Here is a 16606-nt window from a genome sequence, read left to right on the forward strand (position 1 = left end):
TTTTTCTTCTGCCTAAGTTGAAGAATAGCCTTATTTGGTATTCTGAGGTTTGACATTGCTCATTACACTTTTTCTTCTGTTGTGTGGCCAATTACAAGCTTGCCTCAAGCCCAAGAATTGTAGGTGTCAGTTGTATTGAGAACTGTTGCAGGGAAAATTGCATAATGTAGGAAAGCAGACAAGAGGGGCTGACTGGCCAGAGCCCCAGCTTTATCTCTGTTCTATCACTTGCTGATTGGGTGGTTTGGGGAATAATACTTCAATTCTCTGAGACCCAGTGTCCTCATTTGTAAAATGAGGAATTTGGACCAGATCATTTCAAAGGTACCTTTAGGCACAAACATGGAACATTATTCTAGAAGCTAAAAATTAGAAAATTCGTTCTCACTTCATATCACACCTACTGGTATCACAAACAATAGGCAGAGAGAGAAGAATATTCCTTTTTAAATTAACAATAAGAATTGAATCTAAACAAATCTTTTGTTTCTTTCTTTACACAAAGAAATTTTCAATCATTCCATTATTTTCTTCATGTTATGTTTTCCTTGACATCTGAATCTTTTCCAGGATTGACAAAACACTATCACACCTATTTCTGAAATAATTTGGTGAGTTTTTCAATTGTTTCCATTCCATAAGATGCCATGAGTAGAGTAATTTTCAAATTTGCAAAGGTAGAGAGATAAGTACAATATGCAAAGTAACCTACCAAGGTAAGTGAAAGGCATAAATTGAAAAACCAAAGTAACAAACATTATAAACATAAAAGGTACACTGACCTAAATTAAAACAAGGTAGAATATTTTGTGGATTGGATTTCCATTAAGCTCATAAACAACTTTCTTTAATTTTTGTTGGAGCAAAACATTGGTGTACTGCTAGGCTATTCTTATAGTACTACTCAAGTTATTAAAATCTAATGAATGTTACAACAATTTTGGAAAAGGAGAAGTGAACAAACCCTTGTTTTTCTTAACCTCCTTAAGCTTCACTTGACTTTTCTGCAAGATAAAAATACTGCTACCTACCTCATGGCTTGTTAGAAGGACTGAATGTGATAATACAAGTAAAGTCCTCTACTTGGTACGCATTAATGGCTTGTAAGTTTTCTGAGCTGGTCTTGATACTTGTTGCTATATGTACTTTATTTCTTTTCATTCTACAAATGATATTTTGAGTAATATTTTGGAATTTTTTTTTTTTTTTTTTGCACAGGAGAAAAAAATAGAATCAGAGAACTGAAGGTTCTTATTCAACGTCACAAAATACAAGGTGGTTAAGGTTGGAATTATAATCATCCTAAGGTCTACATGGCTTTTAGGCACTTGATTTTCTTGGGACCCAATCCAAATGCGTAAGCCTTAAAATGGTTGTTTTGGCCGGCTGCGGTGGCTCACGCCTGTAATCCCAGCACTTTGGGAGGCTGAGGCGGGCTGATCACCTAAGGTTGAGAGTTCGAGACCAGCCTGACCAACATGGAGAAACCCCGTCTCTACTAAAAATATAAAATTCACCGGGCTTGGTGGCGCATGCCTGTAATCCCAGCTACTTGGGAAGCTGAGGCAGGAGAATCGCTTGAACCTGGGAGGCAGAGGTTGCAGTGAGCCGAGATAGTGCCAATGCACTCCAGCCTGGGCAACAAAAGTGAAACTCTGTCTCAAAAAAAAAAAAAAAAAAAAAGTCTTGTTTTAAGTTCATAGGAGAATATTGACTTGGTAAGTCTGCATGAAGAAATAATATTATTAGTTTTCATGTATGTAGAAAAGTAACTACAATTTATCGTGATTTTAAAAATTAACTGAGCCTTAAGTATCAAAATGAATGTTAGTTTTTAAAGTGATCTTTTTGGGAGGCTCTCTTGAGTACTCTTTCCATTGGCCAGAGTATTTTGAGATTGCCAACTCAAATAGTGACACTAGTCAACTGGTTTGATTATTTGAGTCATATCTCTTATTTTATTTTTAAAGAAAATGTTGTTTTAACCAATTTGTTTATTTACTATATTAGCTTCTGGCTCTTTCCAAAGAATAAAATCATCCCCAAAAGGATCGATACTCTTTGATCTTAAATCTATTAAAAATAATACAGGTAGGCTTGAAATATGTCTAGATGTATGGATCCTAATATTATTTTAAGTAATGACACACTTTGGAATACAGTCATGGTCACTTAATAAGAACTTGCTCTGAGAAATGTGTCATTAGGCAGTTTCATCATTGTGCAAACATCATACACTGTACTTACACAACCTATGTGGTATAGTGCACTACACACCAAAGCTATATGGTATTGCCTGTTGCTCCTAGGTTACAGGCCTGTATAGCATGTTACTGTACTGAATGCTGTAGGCAATTGTAACACAGTAATAAGTGAGGCATATCTTGGAGACACTGTTGGTTCAGTCCAGACCACCACAGTAAAGTGAATAAAGCAAGTCACACAAATTTTTTGGTTTCCCAATGCATATAAGTTATGTTTACCCTATACGATAGTTTATTAGGTATGCAACAGCACTATGTCTAAAACAATAAATATGCATTAATTTAAAAATACTTCTTTGCAAAAATATTGCTAAGGAATATCGGAACCCTCAGTAAGTCATAATCTTTTGGCTCGTGGTGGCTCTTGCCTCGACTGAGATGGCTGTTGACTGATTAAGGTGGTGAAAGATTTCTCTGAGCATGAGATGTTGTTTGACAGCATTTTACCCACAGTAGAACTTCTTTCAAAATTAGAGTCAATCCTCTCAAATCCTGCCACTACTTTGTCAACTAAATTTACATAGTAGTCTAAATTCTTGGGGGTCGTTTCAACAACTTTTACAACATCTTCACCAGGACTAATTTCCATCTCAAGAAATAACTTTCTTGGCTCATCCGTAAGAAGCAACTCCTCATCCATTCAAGTTTTATCATGAGATTGCAGAGATCCAATCACATCTTTAAGATCCACATTTAATTCTAGTTGTCTTGCTGTTTCCACATCTGCAGTTACTTTCTGCACTGAAGTCTTAAATCCCTGAAAGCTATCCATGAGAATTGAAATCAAATTTTTCTAAATTCCTGTTAATTTTATATTTTTACCCCCTTCCATAAATCACAAGTATTCTTAATGGCATATAGAATGGTGAATCCTTTGCAGAAGGCTTTCAACTTATTTTTGCCAAGATCCATCAGAAGAATCACCATCTATGGCAACTGTAGCCTTACTACATGTTTTTTCTTTTCTTTCCTTCCTTCTTTCCTTCCTTCCTTCCTTCCTTCCTCTCCCCTTCCCCTTTCCCTCCCCTTCCCCTTCCCCTTCCCTTCCCTTCGAGTCTTGCTCTGTTGCCCAGGTTGGAGTGCAGTGGCATGATCTTGGCTCACTGCAATCTCCGCTTCCCAGGTTCAGGCTATTCTCATGCCTCAGCCTCCCGAGTAGCTGGGATTACAGGCATGTGCCATCATGCCCAACTAATTCTTGTATTTTTAGTAGAGATGGAGTTTCACCATGTCACAACACTATTCTCGAACTCCTGGCCTCAAGTGATTTTTCTGCCTTGGCCTCTGAAAGTGCTGGGATTACATGTGTGAGCCACCCCATCTGGCCACTAAATGTATTTCTTAAACCATAAGACTTAAAAGTCAAAATTACTCATTGATTCATAGGCTGCAGAATGGTTGCTATGCTAGCAGACATCAAAACAGCACTTATATCCTTGTATATCTCCATAAGACCTCTTGGGAGACCAGGTGTATTGTTAATGAGCAGTAATATTTTTAAAGAAATCTCAACAGTGGGCTTAAAATGTTCAGTAAACCATGCTATAAACAGATGTGCTGTCATCCAGGCTTTGATAATCAATTTACAGAGCACAAGCAGGATAGATTTAACATAATTCCTAAGGGCCCTAAAATTTTCAGAATGATAACTGAGCATTGGTTTCCACTTAAAGTCACCAGCTACATTAGCCACTAGCCACTGACAAGACAGTCTGTCATTTGAAGCTTTTAAACTAGGTGTTTAGTGTAGACACTTTCATCACTTACCTTAGCTAGATCTTCTGGATAACATGCTGCAGCTTCTACATCAGCACTTGATGCTTCCCCTTGCACTTTTATTTTATACAGATGGCTTCTTTTCTTAACCCTTATGAACCAAACTCTGTTAGCTTCTAACTTTTTTTCTGAAGCTTCTTCACCTCTCTCATCCTTTATAGAATTGAAGAGAGTTAGAGCCTTGCTCTGGATTAGGGTTTGGCTTAATGAAATATTGTAGCTGGTTTGATCTTCTATCCATATCAACAATAGGGCTGTTTTACTTTCTTATTATTCTTTTTTTATTTATTTTACAAAAGTATGGAATGCTTCACGAATTTGCGTGTCATTGTTACCCAGGGACCATGCTAATCATCTGTATCATTCCACATTTTAGGATATGTGCTGCTGAAGTGAGCACACTTTCCTATTATTCTTTTGTTCACTGAAGTAGCACTTTTAATTTCTTTCAACAGCTTTTCCTTGCATTCACAACTTGGCTAACTGTATGGCAAAGAGGCTGAGCTTTCGGCCTGTCTTGGCTCTCGATATGCCTTCCTCACTAATCTTCATCATTTCTAGATTTTTATTTAGAGTGAGAGATGTGTGACTCTTCCTTTCCCTTGAACAATTAGAGGCAATTGTAGGGTTTTAATTGACCTAATTTCAAAATTATTGTGTCTTAGGGAATAGGGAGGCCCATGGAGAGGGAAAGAGATGTGGGAACAGCCAGTCAGTGGAGCAGTTGCAACACACACATTTATCAATTAAGTTTTTCATCTTATTTTATTTTTATCATGCATTATTATGGTTTTTAAAATTTATTTTTCCATAAGTTATTACCATTTTATTTATTTATTTATTTTTCCATAAGTTATTGGAATAGCGGTGGTATCTGGTTACATGAATAAATTCTTTAGTGATGATTTGTGAGATTTCGGTGCACCCATCACCCTAGCAGGTGTACATATACACTGCATCCTATTTGTAGCCTTTTATCTCTCGCCCTTCCCTCTCTTCTCTACAACTCCCCAAAGTCCATTGTATCATTCTTATGCCTTTGCGTCCTCATAGCTTAGCTCCCACATATCAGTGAGAACATACGATGTTTGCTTTTCCATTCCTGAGTTACTTCACTTAGAAGAACAGTCTCCAATCTCATCCAGGTCACTGCAAATGCTGTTAATTCATTCTTTTTTATGGCTGAGTAGTATTCCGTTATATATATGGAATACTTCACTATGTTGCAAGGCTGGTCTCGAACTCCTGGCCTCAAGTGATCTACCTACCTTGGCCTCCCAAAGTGCTGGGACTACAGGTGTGAGCCTGGTATATCTATCTATCTATCTATATCTATCTGTCTATCTATCTATCTATCTATCTATCTATCTATCTATCTATCTATCAATCATCTATCTATCTACCACCACAGTTTCTTTATCCACTCGTTGATTGATGGGCATTTGGGTTGGTTCCACGATTTTGCTATTGTGAATTGTGTGCAAGTATCTTTTTCAAATAATGACTTCTTTTCCTCTGGGTAGATACCCAGTAGTGGGATTGCTGAGTCAAATGGTAGTTCTACTTTTAGTTCTTTAAGGAATCTCCACACAGTTTCCCATAGTGGCTGTACTAGTTTACATTCCCACCAGCAGTGTAGAAATGCTCCCTGTTTACCACATCTATGCCAGCATCTACTTTTTTTAATTTTTTGATTATGGCTATTCCCACGACATTCTGCTAGCCTAGAGGTCTTAGTTGCAGAGGGAAGTACACTGCCACCAAGAGACACAACAATGATTCCATTAAACTGGAAGTTAAGATTGCCACCTGGACACTTTGGGATCCTCCTACCTTTAAGTCAACAGGCTAAGAGGGGAGTTACAGTGTTGGCTGGAATGACTGACCCAGACTATCAAGATAAAATCAGTCTACTACTACACAAGGGAGGTAAGGAAGAGTATGCATGGAATACAGCAGATCCCTTGGTGTCTCTTAGTATTACCATGCCCTGTGATTAAGGTCAATGGGAAACTACAACAACTCAATCCAGGCAGGACTACAAATGACCCAGACCCTTCAGGAATGAAGGTTTGGGTCACCCCACTAGGAAAAAAAACACGACCTGCTGAGGTGCTTGCTGAAGGCAAAGGGAATGCAGAATGGGTAGTAGAAGAAGGTAGTCATCAATACCAGCTAAGTGACCTAAATGAGGACTGTAATTGTCTTGAGTATTTCCTCCTTCTTTTGTTAAAAACATGTTTGTGCATATATACACTTGTACTAAGAAAATATCTTCATTTTATTTTTTTCCTATATTATGTGACATGAGATTTATTAACTTCATATCAGCATTTAAGTATTGTTAATTTTATGGAGTAGCATTTGGATTGGGGATTTGTGTATTTCTGGTTGTACAAAGGATAGTTGTTACATGTTAGGCATAATTATTACCTTATTATTGTCTTTATTGGAAGATTCTGATCTCAGGAGTTGTGTATGGGTTCAAGTTGACAAGGTGTGGACTTGTGATGTTTGATACTGAATGTCAACTTGACTAAAGGATGCAAAGTATTGATTCTGTGTGTGTCTGTGAGGGTGCTGCCAAAAGGGATTAACATTTGAGTTAGTGGTCTAGGAAAGGCATACCCACCCATAATCTGGGTGGGCACCATCTAATCAGCTGCCAGTGTGGCCAGAATAAAAAGCATGCAGAAGAACCTGAGGAGACTAGACTGGCTTAGCATCCCAGCCTACATCTTTCTCATGCTGGATGTTTCCTGCCCTCAAACATGGGACTCCAAGTTCTTTGGCTTTGGAACTTGGACTGGCTTCCTTGCTCTCAGCTGGCAGATGACCTATTGTGGGACCTTGGAATCATATGAATTAATATTCCTTATTAAACTCCCCTTTATATATATATATCTATAAAGGGGAGTTTATATATATATATATATCCTATTAGGTCTGTCCCTCTAGAAAATCCTAACACAAGGATCCATTTCATTCTCCTACATGTGGCTTGCCAATTATCCCAGCCCCATTTGTTGTATAGGGTATCCTTTCCCCACTTTTTGTTTCTGTTTGGTTTGTCAAAGATCAATTGAGTGTAAGTATTTGGCTTTATTTCTTGGTCCTCTATTCCGTTCCATTGGTCTATGTGCCTATTTTTATACCAGTAACATGCTGTGTTGGTGACTATAACCTTGTAGTATAGTCTGAAGTCGGGTAATGTGATGCCTCCAGATTTGTTCTTTTTGCTTAGTCTTGCTTTGGCTATGTGGGCTTTTTAGTTCCATATAAATTTTAGGATTTGGTTTTTTTAGTTCTGTGAAGAATGATGATGGTATTTTGATAGGAATTGCATTGAATTTGTAGATTGCTTTTAATAGTATGGTCATTTTCAATATATTGTTTCCACCCATCGATGATCATGGGATGTGTTTCCATATGTTCATGTCATCTATAATTTCTTTCAGCTGTGTAGTTTTCCTTGTAGAGCTCTTTCACCTCCTTGGGTAGGTATATTCCTAATAATTTTTTTTTTTGGTGCAGCTGTGTAAAAGGGGTTGAGTTCTTGATTTGATTCTCAGCTTGTTCATTGTTGGTGGATAGCAGTGCTACTGATTTGTGTACATTAATTTTGTACCCAGAAGCTTTAATGAACTCATTTATCAGTTCCAGGAGCTTTTTGGATGAGTCTTTAGGGTTTTCTGGCTATGTGTTCATATCATTGGCAAACATCACAGTTTGACATTCTGTTTCCTATTTGGATGTTCTTTATTTCTTTCTCTTGTATGACAGCTCTGGCCAGGACTTCCAGTGCTATTTTGAATAGAAGTGGTAAAAGCAGGTATTTTTGTCTTATTTCAGTCCTCAGGGGGAATGTTTTCAACTTTTCCCCATTCAGTATAATGTTGACTGTGGGTTTGTCATGGATGGCTTTTATTACCTTAAGGTATGTCCCTTCTGTGCCGATTTTGCTGAGGTTTTTAATCATAAAGGATACTGGATTATGTCAAATGCTTTTTCTGTGTCTATTGAGATGATCATGTGATTTTTGTTTTTAATTCTATTCATGTGCTATATCACATTTATTGACTTGTGTATGTTAAACCGTCCCTGCATCCCTGGTATGAAACCCACCTGATCATGGTGGATTATCTTTTTGATATGCTGTGAGATTTGGTGAGCTAGTGTTTTGTTGAGAATTTTTGCATCTATGTTCATCAGGATATTAGTCTGTAGTTTTCTTTCTTTCTTTCTTTCTTTTTTTTTTTATTTTGTTACGTCCTTTCCTGGTTTTGGTATTAGGGTGATACGGGCTTCATAGAATGATTTAGAGAGGATTTACTTTTTCTCTATCCTGTGGAATAGTGTCAATCGGATTGGTACCAATTCTTCTTTGAATGTCTGATAGAATTCAGCTGTGAATTTGTCTGGTCTTGGAATTTTTTTGTTGGCATTTTAAAAAAGTTACCATTTCAATCTTGCTGCTTGTTATTGGTCTGCTCAGAGTTTCTATTTTTTCCTTGTTTAATCTAGGAGGGTTTTATATCTCTAGAAGGTTATCCATCTCCTCTAGGTTTTCTACTTTGTCTTCATAAAGGTATTCATAGTAGCCTTGAATTATCTTTTGCATTTCTGTGTTATTGGTTGTAATATCTCCCATCTTGTTTCTAATTGAGCTTATTTGGATATTCTTTCTTCTTGGCTAATCTTGCTAATGGTTTATCAATTTTATTTATCTTTTCAAAGAACCAGCCTTTTGTTTCATTTGTCTTTTGTGTTTTTTTGTTTCAAATTCATTTAGTTCTGCTGCACTGATCTTTGTTATTTCTTTTCTTCTGCTGGGTTTGGTTTGTTTTTGTTTCTGTAGTTCCTTAAGGTGTGAACCGAGATCATCTAGTTGTGCTCTTTCAGACTTTTTGATGTGGGCCTTTAAGGCTATGAACTTTCCTCTTAGCACTGCTTTTGCTGTATCCCAAAGTTTTTTTTTTTTTTTTTAGACGAAGTCTTGCTCTGTTGACAGGCTGGAGTGCAGTGGTGTGATCTCGGCTCACTGCTACCTCCACCTCCCAGGTTCAAGTGATTCTCCAGCCTCCACTTTCTGAGTAGCTGGGACTACAGGTGCACACCACCACACCTGGCTAATTTTTTGTATTTTAGTAGAGATGGGGTTTCACCATGTTGGCCAGGATGGTCTTGATCTCCTGACCTCGTGATCCGCCCACCTTGGCCTCCCAAAGTGCTGGGATTACAGGTGTGAGCCGCTGCACCTGCCCTCCCAGAGGGCATGTATATGTATATATATACACATACACATATATACACACATATATATACACATATATATACATATATATACACACATATATACACATATATACACACATATATACATATATATACACATATATACACACATATATATATACACATAGAAAACTATTTGTATATATATATTTTTATATATATAGTTTGATGTGTCTTTGTCTGGCTTCAGTATCAGGCTAGTTAGTGCTGACTTCGTAGAATATATATATATATTTATATATATACACACACATATAAGAAAACTATTTGTATATATATATTTATATATATATAAATATATATATAGTTTGATGTGTCTTTGTCTGGCTTCAGTATCAAGCTAGTTAGTGCTGACTTCATAGAATAAGTTTGGAAGTAGTCCCTTCTGTTGTATTTTTTAGAATAATTTCATCAGGACTGTTATTTGTTTTTCTTTAATCATTTGGTAAAATTCAGCAGTGAAGCCATTAGTTTCTAGGCCTTTCTTTGATGGGAGACTTTTTATTAGGCTTCAATCATGTTACCTGCTGTTGGTTTGTTCAGGCTTTTTATTTCTTCATGGTTCAATATTGGTAAGTCATATATATTTAGAAATTTATCCATTTCTTCTGGGTTTCCCAATTTATTGTCATATAATTGCTCATAGTAGCCCCTAACCATCCTTTGAATTCCTGTGATATCAGTTGTAATGTCTCCTTTTTTATCTCTGATTTTATTTATTTGGGTCTTCTGTCTTTTCTTCTTATTCTGGCTAAAGAGTTGTCAATTCTGTTGATCTTTTCAAAAAGCAGTTGTTTGTTTCATTGAACCTTTGCATTCCTTTATTTCAATTATATTCATTTCTGCTCTGATCTTCTTATTTCCTTTCTTCTACTAATTTTGGTTTTGCTTGCTCTTGCTTTTCTAGTTCTTGAAGATGCATTGTTAGGTTGTTAATTTGACATTTTTCTACTTTTTTGATGTAGGCACTTATAGCTATAAACTTACCTCTGAGCATTCATTTCACTGTATCTGATAGATTTTGGTATATTTTGTCTTCATTATCATTTATTTAGATAAATTTTTCAATTTTCATCTTGATTTCTTCATTGATACACTGGTCATTCAGGAACATATTATTTAGTTTCCATATGTTCATAGAATTCTAAAATTGTTTTTATTATTGATTTCATTTATTCCACTGTGGCTAGAGGAGATAATTGGTATTATTTTATTTCTTTGAATGTTTTAAAATTTATTTTTTACCTAACATATGATCTGTCCTTGAGAGTAATTCATGCATTGAGAAGAATGTGTATTCTTCAGCCACTGGATGAAACTATTTGTAAATATTTGCTGGGTCAATTTGTTCTGTAGTACACATTAAGTCTGATGTTTCTTTGTTGATTGGGGTCAATCTCTCTATTTATTTCTAATAATATTTGCTTTATATATCTGAGTGCTCCAGTGTTGGTGCATATATATTTACAACTGTTACATCCTTTTGCTGAATTTACCCTTTTATTATTATATAATAATCTTCTTTGTCTCTTCTTATAGTTTCTGTCTCGAAATCTATCTTGTCTGATATACGTATAGCTACTCCTATTCTTTTTTGGTTGCCATTTGCATGTAATATCCTTTTCCATCCCTTTATTTTTAGTCTATGTGCATCTTTATAGGTAAAGTGTGTTTCTTGTAGGCAACAGATCATTGAGTCTTGGTGTTTCATCCATTCAGCCACTTTGACTTTTGATTTCAGAGGTTAGTCTGTTTACATTTAATGTTACTACTGATCGATAAGGAGTTCTGCCATTGTCTTGTTTTTGAGTTGTTTTGCGGTCTTCTCTTTCTTCCTTTTTAAACTTTTTTGTTAAAAACTAAGACACAAGCATATACATTATCCCAGGCCTTCACAGGGTCAGGATCATTGATATCACTGTCTTCCACCTCCACATCTTGTCCCACTGGAAGGTTTTCAGGGGCAATAACACGCATGGAGCTGTCATCTCCTATGATAACAATGCCTTCTTCTGGAATACGCCCTGAAAAACCTATCTGAGGCTGTTTTACACACATATATGTGTATGTAATATACATATGTGTGTATGTAATATACATATGTGTGTATGTAATATACATATATATGAATTAGTATACTCTTAAATGAATAAAATGTACAGTAAATACATAAACAAGCTACATAGTCATTATACTGTCATCAAGTATTATGTAATAATTACATGTGATAGGCTTTTATATGACTGGCATGCAGGTTTCTTTACGCCGGCTTCACTGCAAACACATGAGTAATGTGTTATACTATGATGTTAAGGTGGCTACAGTGTCACTAGGTGATAGGAATTTTTCAGCTCTATTATAATCTTATGGGGTCAACATCATATATGCAGCTTGTCACTGACTGATACATGGTTGTGATTTATGACTATATATGTATTAAGTTGATGCAAAAGTAATTACAGTTTCTGCCATTACTTTTAAGTTCCTTTTCACCTCTTTCCTCTCTCCTGCTGTTTAGTTTGAAAATAACATATCAATCATTGAGTTTAAACACTCTGAACTAGCATATTTGTTGAAAATTTTGATTTATCTAAAAAAAAATTTATTGAATGCCTACTAATTGTCAGGCATTTCTCTGAGTTCTTGGGAAACAACAGTAAACAAAACAGATCTCTAACCTGTGATGTTTACATATACATGCTTACAAACATTATATATATTCACAAATAAATATAACAAATATCTAAATTATGTATAATGTTGGAAAATGATAAGTGCTGTAGGAAAAACAGAAAAGACAGAGCCATTTCATATGGGAAGTGGAGGCAGATTACAATTTTATATAAAGTGATTAGGACAGACTTCATTAAGAAGGTATTATTTTTGCAAAATTCAAAGAAGGAAGAAAATTAGTCAAGAGGATACCTAGAGGAAGATGGTCTCAGGAAGACAAAATAACTTGTACAAAGACCCTGAGTTGTAAGTACACTGGTGCTGTTGAGACAGAGTAAGGAGACCAGTGTAGTTAGAAAAGTGTAAGTGAGGTATAGAGAACCAGGAAAAAAAAAGTCAGAGAAGAAAGGGCTGATCATCCTGGCCTTGGAAGCCAGTATAAGGAGTCAAGCTTTCATTCTTAGTGAAACGGAAGCCATTGCTGTGCTTTGAGCAGTGATGTGACATTATCAGTCTAGTCTTTTAGAAGGATTTCTCTGGCTGCTTCAATGAGAATAGAAAATAGGGGCAAAGAGAGAAACAGGGAGACCAGCGTGGAGGCAAGACATGATGAAACAGGGTGGTAGCAGTGATGGTGGTGAGAAGTGGTCAGGTATATAAGTTTATGCCTTTTATACAGTTTTTTCGCTGCAATCAGACTTTCTAGAAAGTATGCAGACCATGTCTCTTTTGACCACAGTTGTTTCCCTGAGTTCCTGGTACAAGAGCAGATAAATAGTAAGAACTTAATAATATTATATTTTGGATATAAAATAAGGTTTTAGAAAAAAACTAGCTATCGGCCTGGCACGGTGGCTCATGCCTATAATCCCAGCATTTTGGGAGGCCAAGGCGGGAGGATTACGAGGTCAGGAGATCGAGACCATCCTGGCTAACACAGTGAAACCCTGTCTCTACTAAAAAATACAAAAAAAATTAGCTGGGCGCGGTGGCGGGTGCCTGTAGTCCCAGCTACTCAGGAGGCTGAGGCAGGAGAATGGCGTGAACCTGGGAGGTGGAGCTTGCAGTGAGCTGAGATTGCGCCACTGCACTCTAGCCTGGGAGACAGAGCAAGACTCCAGAAAAAAAAAAAGAAAAAAAAAAAGAAAAAGAAAAAAACTAGCTATTACTTGTCAAGTATATGATCTTACTATTTTATACAAATTTCTGATGTAAACCTCAGCACAACCCTGTGCAGTTAGTACTATTATTATCTCCACTTTACTGATGAGGTAGCTGAAGCACAGAATGGTTACAAACTTACCTAACCTAGCCAGTGGCAGAGCCGAGACTTTAGGTCATCTGATTGCAGGATATCTGTTCTTAACACCATGCAGCACTGCTTTAAAGAACTGTAAGTCATAATTCACTATATAATTCATGGATTCAAAAATATGAGATTTTATGCTTGGTATCTGTTCATTTTCATAACTGCAGAAACATGATAGGTAAGGTACACAGAGACACTAAGATAAAATGTACTTTCTTTGTGAAATTATATCACCCACACTAAGAAAACCTAAAATGTGCCATAAAAAGAAGCAAATTGTTGGTGATAGCATTTGAAATTGTACCTTTTATTTTTATTCAGTCTGGAATATGTTGGAGTAGAAAATGTACCATGAGCAATTTGTTGCCTGAAACACTAAAATGGCTTTCTGGCAAACTAAGATAATACATCTTCTCGTGTAAATTTTATTTGAATGCATAGAATTCTTGCATTTAAACTTAGTAATGCTACATTTTTCCAACTCTGTTAGTGGTGCATTTTTAAGATATATGACTAAAGAATCCAATTATACACCTCAGGGCACAACGAACAGCCAGAAAAGGGCTTTATTTAGAAATGCAGCAGACCTTACTTTTAAACCTCTAAAAGGAAAAAAATAAAGCCACACAATTGAGGATTAATGAACCATATGCAAAATTTAGTGAATAATTTATTTAGCAAAATAGAGTACATGAAAGAGGTATGTGAAAAATTAGCACTGTCATTTCTGGAGTGTTTAATATTGTAGTAAAATTGAAACACAAAAAAAGGATGTACAGTCGGTTATTAAGAGAGAGAATTTTATCAGTGGAGAGTAATGATCCAAACATGCTGATGTGTTTTCGATGGCACAGAGCTGTCATGAACTTCCCCAGGTCTATAGAATATTAAGAAATTCCTAGTAAAAAAGCTCCTTTGTCTAGAAATCAAGTTAAAAATATACACATGTCTTAAAAGACACATGCAGAGAACCTATTAATGTGTGAGAATTTCAATTTTCTGATTTTTAAAATATACATCTTTTCACAAGCACCCTGTATAGTCAGAAATATAAATGTGCCTTGCATTACCAATTAGATGACATCCTGAAAATGTGTCTCAAGAGAACACATTTTTCCCCTTGTTCTATTATAACAGATTTATGTTTAAAATGTAAGAAACAATTCCCTCAAAATACTTCCATGCATGGTTCATCTATTGTCCCAAATAATTCAGCAAAAAAAGAAATCATGGTAGTCAAACATCACTTTTTTGGGGTATACTTATTAAAACAAAGTGAACTTTACTTAAAAAGTACATCAGCCACAGGAACATCAAATATTAAGATTTGCTTGACACTTAAGATGAAAATCAGAAATCTGCTACCCAGAAATCATGAAAATTTGCTTTCACATACTGCCTGATTAAATACTTTATTCGAAAGAAGACAGCTACATAAGTTGTTAGGAATGACTTCCAGACTTAATTTGAACACATTCACAAATATTCCTTGACTATATTATTTGTACCAAGAAATATTCAAGGCTGTGAGTTGAGGAATTTAAAGATTCCTTCCTTCTTTGAGTTTATTCAGTTAAGCAATATGTATTTTGCCTAGGCACTTTTCCAGGACTGAGGATATAGTAGTACATAAGATAAAGTACCTGGCCTCAAATAGTTGGAGTTGGCGAGAAACAAGCAATCAAATAAATAAATATGTATTGGTAACATGAATTTCAGGTGGTGAAAAGTACAACGATGAAAAATACAGCAACTCCATTGGAGAGTGCCAGCGACAGAGGGGTCTCTATTGTAGATGTGACTTGCAGAAAGGACCTCGCTGAGGATGTCATTTTCACTAAGACCCCAGTGAATTTCATGTGTAAGACAAGGGAAAATACACGAGAAAAAAGCGTTGCAACCCTGAGGCAGGAATCTGTTTGGCATGCCTAGGCCCAGCAAGAAGGCCAATGTGACTGGAACAGAATGAGGCAGAAAATGAATAGAAAGTCTGTGAGGTTGGAGAAGTCACTGGGAGCCAGATTATATAGCATAATGGTAAAAATTTTAGATTTTGCTCTAAACGTGATGAAAAGCTGTTGGCAGTTTGACTGTAGGGACTGACTCTGTCTTATGTTTTATGAAATCACTCAGGTTGGAATATATTTTTACGGTAGAGTCAACAGTGCTTGTTGATAAATTGAAGTGAGGTCTGCAAGAAAAGAGGAATCAGGGCTGGTCGCGGTAGCTCACGCCTGTAATCCCAGCACTTTGGGAGGCCAAGGCAGGGGGATCACGAGGTCAGGAGATCGAGACCATCCTGGCTAACACGGTGAAACCCTGTCTGTACTAAAAATACAAAAAAAAAAAAAAAAAATGAGCCAGGTTTTGTGGCGGGCACCTGTAGTCCCAGCTACTCGGGAGGCTGAGGCAGGAGAATGGCGTGAACCCGGGAGGCGGAGCTTGCAGTGAGCCGAGATTGCACCACTGCACTCCAGCCTGGGTGACAGAGCGAGACTCCGTCTCAAAAAAAAAAAAAAAAAAAAAGAGGAATCAAGGGTAATGCCTATGATGTTTTTCTGAGCAACTTGTTGATTCTGAATACATATACTGAGATGGAGAGCACTTCAAGAGTTGCGGCTTTGGTTAAGAAGATCAGGAGTTCATTTGCAATGTACTTAATTTGATTTGCCTATTAGACATTAAAATAGAGATGTATGTCAAGGAAGTAACGATATATCTGGATTTTCTGAGATAGCTACAGATATACATTAGGAAATCGTAAGCATAAGCATGGTATTTAAAGCCTTAATACAGAAGGAAATTTCCCCAGGAAATCAGTGCAGTTAAACAAGGTTTAGAAGTTTGAGATCTCAATGTTCAATGAGAAAGGAATGTGAGGTCATAACAGCTAATGTGGTAGGAAGAGAACTAGGAAAATACTCGTGGATGTTGAAGGTTGTTCTAATTATCTATTGATGCATAACAAATGATCCAAAAATTTAGTAGCATAAAACAATGCCTATTTTATGTGTTTATGATTCTGTGGCTCAGCAATTCAGGCAGGAAGATGTAGGCATGGTTTGTTATGTGTGGAACCTCAGCTGAGGTGGCCCAAATAAGTAAGATGGCTGGGTCACAAATCTAGGGCCTTAGTTCTTCTATACCCAGTCTCTCAGCATATTAGTTTGGACTCCATTACAGCATGGAGCTCTCAGGGTAGTCAAATGCCTTATGGGGGTGGTTTAGGATTCTGAGAGGCCAAAGCAGAAGTTGCCGTTCTCTTAAATGTTGGCCCAAACAGGCACAG

At 36.6% G+C, this 16606-nt stretch overlaps 1 long non-coding RNA gene and 1 pseudogene across 1 annotated transcript in view; both read right to left on the reverse strand.

Moving 5' to 3' along the window:
* Positions 1 to 16606, reverse strand: part of LINC02006 (long intergenic non-protein coding RNA 2006) — a 378977-nt gene that overhangs the window by 83582 nt on the left and 278789 nt on the right. The gene's annotated exons all lie outside the window — the stretch shown is intronic.
* On the reverse strand, positions 4335 to 4440 carry RNU6-901P (RNA, U6 small nuclear 901, pseudogene; annotated as a pseudogene).

This window comes from Homo sapiens, chromosome 3 (genome assembly GCF_000001405.40).
Source record: "Homo sapiens chromosome 3, GRCh38.p14 Primary Assembly".
Classification (NCBI taxonomy): Eukaryota; Metazoa; Chordata; class Mammalia; order Primates; family Hominidae; genus Homo; species Homo sapiens.